The sequence below is a fragment of the Homo sapiens genome, chromosome 19 (genome assembly GCF_000001405.40).
Source record: "Homo sapiens chromosome 19, GRCh38.p14 Primary Assembly".
Taxonomy (NCBI): domain Eukaryota; kingdom Metazoa; phylum Chordata; class Mammalia; order Primates; family Hominidae; genus Homo; species Homo sapiens.
The window spans coordinates 11255237-11264953 of NC_000019.10; the positions used below are offsets into that span (position 1 = coordinate 11255237).

The following is a 9717-nucleotide window of genomic DNA, read 5'->3' on the forward strand; positions in this document are numbered from 1 at the left end:
TTAGGTGACACACCTGCCTCAGCCTCCCAAAGTGCTGGGATTACAGGCATGAGCCACCGCTCCCGGCCTACTTTTTTTTTTTTTTTTTGAGACAGGGTTGCTCTGTTGCCCAGGCTGGAGTGTAGTGGCACGATATCGGCTCACTGCAACCTTCGCCTCCCAGGCTCAAGCGATCCTCCTCCCACCTCAGCCTCAGCCTCCCAAGTAGCTGTGATTACAGGTGTGCACCACCATGCCTGGTTAATCTTTCTATTTTCAGTAGAGACAGGGTCTTGCCATGTTGCCCAGGCTGGTCTCGAACTCCTGAGCTCAAGCGATCTGCCCGCCTTGTACTTTTTTTTGACAGAATGAGTGAGTCCCTTCCAGTCTTCTTCTACAACTTGCCCAAATCTGCTGAGTGAGGGGAAGCCCCAGGTCTTCTGGCTGTGTGGCTTTGGGCAGGTAGGATACCCTCTCTGGGCCTTAGTCCCTCTTAAAATAGACAAGCTGATTGCCTGGGTTTTCAGGGCTTACTCCCTTCTGCTTCCCAATTCCCTGTGTAATTGTAAATTTTTTTCTTTTTCTTTTTGAGACGGAGTCTCGATCTGTTGCCCACGCTGGAGTGCAGTGGCGCAATCTCGGCTCACTGCAAGCTCCGCCTCCCGGGTTCACGCCATTCTCCTGCCTCAGCCTCCTGAGTAGCTGGGACTACAGGCGCCCACCACTACGCCCAGCTAATTTTTTGTATTTTTAGTAGAGACAGGGTTTCACCGTGTTAGCCAGGCTGGTCTCGAACTCCTGACCTCAGGTGATCCGCCCGTCTCGGCCTCCCAAAGTGCTGGGATTACAGGTGTGAGCCACCTTGCCCGGCCCCATTTTTGCTCTTAACAGTCTTGGAGTCTTGCTTCTACTGACTGGGGGGGTTGAGAAAAGCGCTTGTGGGGAATTCAAAGGATGTGAAAAATTAGGGCTTTTGTCTTCAAATTCCTAAAGTCGGGCTGCTGCCTCCAGAACCGTGGGCACACAGGGGCTGGGGGATAATTTACAAAAGATGCTGGGACAGGGGACAAAGCTGTGCCCTGGTCCCAGCTGTTCTGCAGCTGCTGCTCCAGAGGAGGGAGAGGGGAGGAGGGACGGCTGGGCCTCCAGCTTCCTTTTCCCCTTGGCCTTGGAGAGAGGCCCCTGCAGTGGGAAAACGCCGGGTCTGCAACACCACAGCCACAGAGCCAGCTGACTGCATCACAGGACTCTGCACGGAGAGCCGTCAAGCTTGGATGAGTGACCATCAGTCTCTCAGCCTCAGGGCTCAGGCCACTGACCACCTTCTTGAGCTGTTCTGAGTGTAAGGCTTTGCACACAGTAAGTGCTCAATTAGGGCTTGCTGCCACCATGTTGTCTTCAAAGACAATCCTAGGCAGCTGGGATTTCTGACCCTGGTTTTTTGTTTTCGTTTTTTAAAAAAATTTTATTTATTTTTTTGAGACAGAGTTTAGCTCTTGTTGCCCAGGCTAGAGCGCAGTGGCATGATCTCAGCTCACTGCAACCTCCACCTCCAGGGTTCAAGCGATTCTCCTGTCTCAGCCTCCTAAGTAGCTGGGATTACAGGCACCCACCACCATGCCCGGCTAATTTTTTGTATTTTTAGTAGAGATGGGGTTTCATCATCTTGGCCAGGATGGTCTCGAACTCCTGACCTCTGGTGATGCACCCACCTCAGCCTCCCAAAGTCCTGGGATTACAGGCGTGAGCCACCGAGCCCGGCCTGTTTTTGTTTTTTTGTGTCTGTTTTTTTGAGACAGGTCTTACTGTCGCCCAGGCTGGAATGCAGTGGTGCAATCACGGCTTACTGCAGCCTCAACCTCCTGGGTTCAAGGAATCCTCCTGCCTCAGCCTCCTGAGTAGCTGGGACAACTGATGCACACCACCATGCTTGGCTAATTATTATTATTATTATTATTATTTGTAGAAATGGGGTCTCACTATGTTGCCTAGTATGGTCTCAAACTCCTGACCTTCCGTGATCTTCCCGCCTCAGCCTCCTAAAGTGCTGGGATTACAGGTGTGAGCCACTGTGCCTGGCCTCTGACCCTGTTTTTACACCAAGGTGAGATGTAGATGGCAACCATGAGTGTCAGGCATGGTGGCTTGCACCTGTAATCCCAGTGCTTTGGGAGGCCAAGGCGGGAGGATCGCTTGAGCCCAGGAGTTTGAGGCTGCAGTGATGGCACCAGTGCACTCCAGCCTGGGCTACAGAGACACTGTCTCTTAAAAAAAAAAAAAAAAAAAAAAAAAGCTGGGCACTGTGGCTTATGCCTGTAATCCCAGCACTTCGGGAGGCCGAGGCGGGCAGATCATCTGAGGTCAGGTGTTTGACACCAGCCTGGCCAACATGGTGAAACCCCATCTCTACTAAAAATACAAAAATTAGCCAGGCATGGTGGCACATGCCGGTAATCTCAGTTACTCGGGAGGCTGAGGCAAGAGAATCACTTGAACCCGGGAGGTGGAGGTTGCAGTGAGCCGAGATTGCGCCACTGTACTCCAGCCTAGGCAACAGAAAGAAACGCTGTCTCAAGAAAAAAAAAAAATCCATCTATAAGCCAGGTGTTGTGGCTCATGCCTATACTCCCAGCATTTTGGGAGGCTGAGGTGGGAGGATCACATGAGGCCAGGAGTTCAAGACCAGCTTGGGCAACATAGCGAGACCCCATTTCTAATAAACACAAATGTACACACACACACGCACACAGAAAAAACCATCTGTGATTATTAAGCAAGGTTGAAAATATGCCAATCCAGCAATTCTACTCCAAGGTGTGGATTACTCAGAAGGAAACACATGGCCAAGAATGTTGACACCTCTGATCATGACAGCTCCAAAGTGAAACTCACATGTTCACTGACCAAAGAGGGAAATAAATGCATGAGGCAGGGGAATACTACCCAGCAATGAAAAAGGATTGCAGGCAATGGCCCAGCTGAGCCTTCCTGACATGATGCTGAGTGAACAAAGTTGGGCACATGGATGCAACACCTCATGATTCAGTTTATATGACAATCTAAAACAGGCCAGATCAGGTAGGGGTGCTGGCATGCGGGAGGGAGCCAGGAAGGTGGAGATAGTCCCCATGGGAAATTGACCAAGTGGCCATTTCCTCATTTCCTTGCCCTTTGCTTTCAAATTATTCTTTAAACTTCGCACTTTTCTTTCTCTCTCTCTCTCTTTTTTTTTTTTCCTTGAGATGGAGTCTCTGTCGTCCAGGCTGGAGTGCAGTGGTGAAATCTCAGCTCACTGCAACCTCCACGGCCCGGGTTCAAGCGATTCTCCTGCCTCAGCCTCCTGAGTAGCTGGGATTACAGGCACCCACCACCATGCCCAGCTAATTTTTGTATTTTTAGTAGAGATGGGGTTTCACCATGTTGGCCAAGCTGGCCTCGAACTCCTGACCTCAGGTGATCCGCCCACCTCAGCCTCCCAAAGTGCTGGGATTACAAGCATGAGCCAACGCGCCCGGCCTATAACTATTCTTTAAACTTTTCTTTCTCTCTCTTTTTTTTTTCTTGAGACGGAGTCTCTGTCACCCAGGCTGGAGTGCAGTGGCGTGATCTCAGCTCACTGCAACCTCCACGTCCCGGGTTCAAGTGATTCTCCTGCCTCAGCTTCCCCAGTAATTGGGATTACAGGCACTCGCCACCATGCCTGGCTAATTTTTATATTTTTCGTAGAGATGGGGTTTCACCATCTACAGACCCGAACTCCTGACCTCAGGTGATCCACCTGCCTCAGCCTCCCAAAGTGCTCGGATTATAGGCATGAGCCACCATACCCAGGCTACTTTCTTTTTCTTTCTTTTGAGACAGGGTCTCACTCTGTCACTCAGGCTGGAGTGCAGTGGCGCAATCACGGCTCACTGCAGCCTCAACCTCCTGGGCTCCAGCAATCCTCTCATCTCAGCCTCCCCAGGAGCTGGGACTACAGGTATGAGCCACCATCACACCTGGGTAATTTTGTTTCTTGCAGAGACAGGGTCTCGCTATGTTGCCCAGGCTGGTCTTGAACTCCTGGCCTCCCAAAGTGGTAGGATTACAGGTGTGAGCCATCATACCTGGCCCAAAATTTGTAGTTTTTGGTATGAATGTTGTATGTTACAGTTGTTTAAATGGTAAAAAATAACAATATATGTATGTGCTTGTGTTTGCCAATATATTCAAGGATGGGGGAGAGAGAGAGAGAGAGAGAGATGTTTACCTGAAATTTCAGTGGTAACTTTGGGATTTTGAAATTTGTCAATAAATACCTCATTTTCTTCCCACCCCTCCAATGAATCATTATTTCTTTTCTTTTTTTTTTTTTTTTTTTGAGATGGAGTCTCGCTCTGTCGCTCAGGCTGGAGTGCAGTGGCGGGATCTCGGCTCACTGCAACCTCTACCTCCCAGGTTCAAGCAATTCTCCTGCCTAAGCCTCCCGAGTAGCTGGGATTACAGGCGTGCGTCACCACGCTTTTGTAAATTTGTAAAGTTACAAAAAGCTAACTTTTTGTATTTTTAGTAGAGACGGAGTTTCACCATGTTGGCCAGGCTGGTCTCGAACTCCTGACCTCAGGTGATCCACCTGCCTCGGCCTCCCAAAGTCTGGGATTACAGACCTGGGCCGCCGCGCCCGGCCTTTTTTTTTTTTTTTTTTTTGAGACAGAGTCTTACTCTGTCACCCAGGCTGGAGTGCAGTGGCACGATCTCTGCTCACTGCAACCTCCACCTCCTGGGTTCAAGTGATCCTCCTGCCTCAGCCTCTGGAGTAGCTGGAAGATTGTCTAATATTCGGGTTAATCTGGTATTTGTGGAATAAATGACTGAATGGATGAACAGATGAATATAGGACCAGCTCTGAGTATGTAGACACCTGGGTGCCCAAGAGCGAAGTTGCTCTGGAAGCCCTGGGCCACTCCCTCACAGTTCACTAGGGCCCCAGGATCATTCTCTACTCTTACCCTGAGCTCTACAGTATCCAAAACCCCTCTTTCTCACTTGAGTAAAAACCAGGACCCAAGGACATACAGACCAAAATGCAAAGAAACAGACAGCAAGCTGGGCGCAATGGCTCACGCCTGTAATCCCAGCATTTGGGAGGCCGAGGCAGGAGGATCACTTGAGCCCAGGAGTTTGAGGCCAGCCTGGGCAAGATAGTGAGATCCCGTTTCTACAAAAGGTTAAAAAGTTAGCTGAGTGTTGCAGCATACACCTGTAGTCCCAGCTACTTGGGAGGCTGAGGCAGGAGGATCACTTGAGCCCGGGAGATTGAGACTGCAGTGAGCCAAGGTATCACCACTGCACTCCAGTCTGGGTGACAGAGCAAGACCCTGTCTCAAAAAAAGAAAAGGAAAAAAAAAAAAAGCCTGGGTGCAGTGGCTCACACCTGTAATCCCAGCACTTTGGGAGGTGGGCGGATCACCTGAGGTCAGGAGTTCGTGACCAGCCTGGTCAACATGGTGAAACCCCCTCTCTACTAAAAATACAAAAATTAGCTGGGTGTGGTAGTGGGCGCCTGTAACCCCAGCTACTCAGGAGGCTGAGGCACAAGAATCGCTTGAACCCAGGAGGCGAAGGTTGCAGTGAGCCAAGATTGTGCCATTGCACTCCAGTTTGGGTGACAGAGCGAGACTCTGTCTCAAAAAAAAAAAAAGAAAGAAAGAAAGAAAAGAAAAAGAAAAGGAAAGAAAAAGAAACAGACAGCAATAATGTTTGCAGCCTCAAAGACGCCAAAGGTCTAAGACATTTTGAAAGCCAATTTACAGACAAAGATAATGATAGAACATAAAAATTGCCCAGCCATTACGCCCCAGCCACCAAGTCTCATCCCTCCTCTGCTGAGAACTCCCCATGGCTCCCACCTCACCTGGGGTCCAAAGTCAAAGTCCCTTGCACAGCCCACACGACCCTGTACATTCTACTCTTACTGTCCCCCTCCAGCTCTCTGTTCCTGCCTCAGGGCCTTTGCACAAACCCTTCCCACTCTTTCCCCCCACAAACTGGCCTCGATCGATCCCTCTCTCATCTCCTTGAGGTTTTTGCTCAAAGGCACCTGCTCATCCAGGCCTTCCTGACCCACCTCCCGCATCTCAAGCAGCCCCCACCCTCCCATCCCCCTTCCCTGTCTTCTTGTCCCTACAGCACTTGTCACTGACAGGTAATCTACTCGATCAGGCTTCTGGTCTCTCTCCGCCACTATATCCCAAGAGGGGGATCTTTTGTCTCCATAAGACCAGGGCCCAACCCACAGGGCAGCTCTTTCACCTGGGGGCAGTCAGGACAGGTCCCCCGGGGAGAGGATACCTGAGCTTCTGAACGCACCCTTGTCGCAAAGACCCCCCGCCAACTGGGGGCGAGGCTTTTCAGCCCCAGAGAGTCTGATATACCCCTCCCAGGCTGTGACTCTCACAATCCCCAGTGGCCACGGAAATGGATCCCCCAGCGCCTGGGGCCTGTCCCCTCCCCCGTCTGCCCACCAGCTGGTTCTGTCCCCAGCCCCCACTCCCTCCATTCAATCACCCATCCATCCCCAGCGCGGTCCAGCCCGTGACGGGAGAGCCTGAAGCAGAAGGTGGGGGGGCGTCCACAGCTGTCCCCCTTCCCCCCCCCCGACAGCTGGGCACTGGACCCTGGAGGGGGAAGGGCACGGGAAACTCCTCGAGGGGTTTCAAACGCCACCAAGGAGCCCATCTCTGTCCCCAAATCTCAGAGCCTGGAGCCTCCCTGCCCCAAACCAGGCACTGAGGAAGGAACAGAAAGTCCGGCCCACCCCGATCTCCGAGAGCGCGGGGACAGTGAGGGGCCGAGAGGCGGACGGGGAGCGCAGGGAGTTCAGGGGGCGCCCGTCATCCGCATCCCCACGCCACCTCCTCCGGGAAGCCCTCCGGACACACCCCCGCGCGTCACGGAGGCAGAACGGCAGCCGCCATCGCGCTCCCAGCCCCGACGCGACTCCCATCTGGGACCCCCGCCGGGACCCCCGCGGCCCTCCCCGCCTTCTCCCGCTCCCAGCCCCGGCCGGAGGAAGCTGGCGGGACCCGGGCCGAGGCGGAAAGGGGTTGAATTGGGGGCGCCCGGGCGGGGAGGGTCGCACCGCCCCGGGGCGGAGCCGGGCCACGTGGGGGAGGTGGGAGGGGGCCCCGCGGCCACACTACCTGTTGATCTTGTGCGCGAAGGCGCGGCGCTCGGAGGCAGCCATGGTCCTCGCGTCCCGCCGCCGCCGCCCCGGGCCCCGGCCCCGCCGCCGCCGCCGCCTCCCGGTTCTGGGCAGCCGGGGCGGGGCGGGGCCGGCGCGGGGGCGGGGCCCTTCCGGGTGGCCCGGGCCGCTCCGTGCTGCCCCTGCAGGCCGGAGGGGTCGCCTGGAGTCCTGGGGGCTGGGGAAACTGAGGCTGGGGACGGAGAGGAGGCCCCGGGATCCAGGCTGGGCGGGCCCCAGACTCCCGGGCTGGGGGGACGCTCTTTCTACCCTAGGAGAAGGGCTGGGGAAACTGAGGCTGAGGAGGGAAGTTAGGGAGAGGAGGCGCTGGGACCCAGACTGGGGGTGCCCCAGACTCCCGAGCTGGCGGGGGCGCTCTTTCCACCCTGGGAGCTGGGCTGGAGAAACTGAGCCTGAGGAGGGAGGGAGGGAAGGGAGGCGCTGAGACCCGGGCTAGGTGGACCCCAGGCTCCCGGGGTTTAGTGGGGTGGTCTTACCACCCCAGGAGCAGGGCTGGGGAAACTGAAGCTCAGGAGGGAGGGAGGGAGGGGAGGCGCTGGGACCCAGGCTGGGTAGGCCCCAGATTTCCGGGGTTTGGGGGGCGCTCTTTCTGCCCTCTGACTCCTGGCTGGAAAACAATAACGATGTTCATGTATCTAATAATCATACCTGTAAGTATAATCGTGGCCGTGCATGGTGGCTCATGCCTGTAATCCCAGCACTGTGGGGGGCCAAGGCAGGAGGATTGTTTGAGCCCAGGAGTTGGAGACCAGCCTGGGCAACATAATGAGACCCCGTGTCCACAAAAAATGCAAAAATTAACCAGGCATGGTGGTGTGTGCCTGTAATCTCAGCTACTTGGGAGTCTGAGGGAGGAGGATCGCTTGAGCCTGGGAGGTCAAGGCTGCAGTGAGCTGTGATTGTGCCATTTCAATCCAGCCTGGGTGACAGAGCGAGACCCTGTCTCAAAAAGTCTAATTGCTAAGATGTCATTGAGCCTGGCCCTGCAATTCACACATGCAGAAGAAATTATTGTTTTCCTCCTTTTACAGATGAGTAAACTGAGGCACAGAGGTGTTCGGGTGCTTGCTCAGTGTGACTCACAGGGGTCTCCAGCGCCTGCATTGTCCGTGCTCCCAGTCTACAGCATGGGAGTCAGAGGAGCCTGGCTAGGCACTGGAGTGCTCGGAGATGTGCCCCAGGTCCAGGTGGTGGGACCTGAGTGAGCCAGTTTGGGAGTCTAGACTTTCGGGGCCGCCTCTACCAAGAGGAAGAGGTGGGGATGTCTTGGTTAATCTATGGTCTCAAATCTCTCCCCACTGGCCTCTCTCCCAGCACTGCTGCAGCATTTTTAGAGAATTCTCCAGCCGACACTCCCCTCTGGAGGAGCTCACCCCTTTCTCACCTGCATGCCTCTGCACCGGCAGGTCCTTCCTCCTGGACAGCCCTTCTTTCCCTGGTCAGCAAATGCCCCAGGGAGAATTTGAGGTTGAATCAGACAAGGCCGTGGCTCTGCCTCAGGGCCTTTGCACGTGCTGTTCTCATTCCCATCTATGGGTTGCTGGCATTTTATCCTCTATTATTTATTTATTTATTTATTTATTTATTTATTTATTTATTTATTTATTTTGAGGTGGCATTTCGCTCTTGTTGCCCAGACTGGAGTGCAATGGCACAATCTCGGCTCACCGCAACCTCTGCCTCCCAGGTTCAAGCGATTCTCCTGCCTCAGCCTCCCGAGTAGCTGGGATTACAGGCACCCACCATCACACCTGGCTAATTTTTTGTATTTTTAGTAGAGACGGGGTTTCACCATGTTGGCCAGGCTGGTCTGGAGCTCCTGACCTCAGGTGATCCACCCGCCTCGGCCTCCCAAAGTGCCGGGATTACAGGAATGAGCCACATGCCCACCCTGAGTCACCATGCACCCCCGAGACACAGTTTCTTGCCTTGCTGCCCAATGAATCCATGTCAGACCTTGAACCCACAGGAAAGAGGCCTGGATTGTAGGGGAACCCCCAAACCCTGCCAGTCAGACGCAGGATAGCATCCTGCTAGTCAGGCCGCAGTAGGGCTGCTCACAGCCTGGCATGTGACATGTGCACACAGCCCACGTGCCTGCCCGGAGTGGTCCAGCCACTTTGGCCAGGTGGAGCTCCGCCCATCACTCCCCGCCATGCCCCACCAAGTGTCCCCGCCTTGCCTCTCAGGCTGCTGGGAGCTAGGCTGGGCAGGAAATATGCAGATGAGCGAAGATTTGCACATTTCTTAGCCTAGTTCCAGTCCAGCCCCCTTTATATCCGGTCTCCCAGCTTCCTTTCTCATCCTCCCCCCAGCTTGTTCCTGCATCAGTGGCCAGGAAGAGCCTGGGAACACCTGCATCACTTCAGTTCCCTCCTCTGTTCAGAACCTTCCATGGCTCCCACCTCACTCAGGGTAAAAGCCAAAGTCCTCCCACAACCCGCCGGGCACAGTGGCTCCCTGTCATCCTGGCACTTTGGGAGGCCGAGGCGGGT

General features: G+C 54.4%; 1 protein-coding gene across 10 annotated transcripts in view, besides 5 other annotated features; it reads right to left on the minus strand.

The window, feature by feature from the left end:
• DOCK6 (dedicator of cytokinesis 6) overlaps nt 1-7288 on the minus strand; it is a 63230-nt gene extending 55942 nt beyond the window's left edge. For all 10 annotated transcript variants that reach the window (NM_020812.4, XM_047439124.1, NM_001367830.1 and 7 more), the window contains exon 1: nt 7161-7288. In NM_020812.4, coding sequence (NP_065863.2) covers nt 7161-7204 — 44 coding nt within the window. In that variant the 5' untranslated portion in view covers nt 7205-7288. The remainder of the gene's footprint in view (nt 1-7160) is intronic.
• Nucleotides 777-1071: a silencer, noted in NCBI's record as "tiled region #11176; HepG2 Repressive DNase matched - State 9:DNaseU, and K562 Repressive non-DNase unmatched - State 23:Low". NCBI's record gives its function as "represses a minimal TATA promoter and a strong SV40 promoter by Sharpr-MPRA in HepG2 and K562 cells {active_cell/tissue: HepG2 | K562}" and the evidence as "EXISTENCE:reporter gene assay evidence [ECO:0000049][PMID:27701403]".
• Nucleotides 1466-1622: a silencer, noted in NCBI's record as "fragment chr19:11367378-11367534 (GRCh37/hg19 assembly coordinates)". NCBI's record gives its function as "represses an EF-1alpha promoter that drives an FKBP-Casp9 reporter gene in an ReSE screen in K562 erythroleukemia cells {active_cell/tissue: K562}" and the evidence as "EXISTENCE:reporter gene assay evidence [ECO:0000049][PMID:32094911]".
• Nucleotides 6863-7002: a silencer, noted in NCBI's record as "silent region_10104". NCBI's record gives its function as "represses an Ori minimal core promoter by ATAC-STARR-seq in GM12878 lymphoblastoid cells {active_cell/tissue: GM12878}" and the evidence as "EXISTENCE:reporter gene assay evidence [ECO:0000049][PMID:35858748]".
• Nucleotides 7083-7142: a silencer, noted in NCBI's record as "silent region_10105". NCBI's record gives its function as "represses an Ori minimal core promoter by ATAC-STARR-seq in GM12878 lymphoblastoid cells {active_cell/tissue: GM12878}" and the evidence as "EXISTENCE:reporter gene assay evidence [ECO:0000049][PMID:35858748]".
• Nucleotides 7213-7372: a silencer, noted in NCBI's record as "silent region_10106". NCBI's record gives its function as "represses an Ori minimal core promoter by ATAC-STARR-seq in GM12878 lymphoblastoid cells {active_cell/tissue: GM12878}" and the evidence as "EXISTENCE:reporter gene assay evidence [ECO:0000049][PMID:35858748]".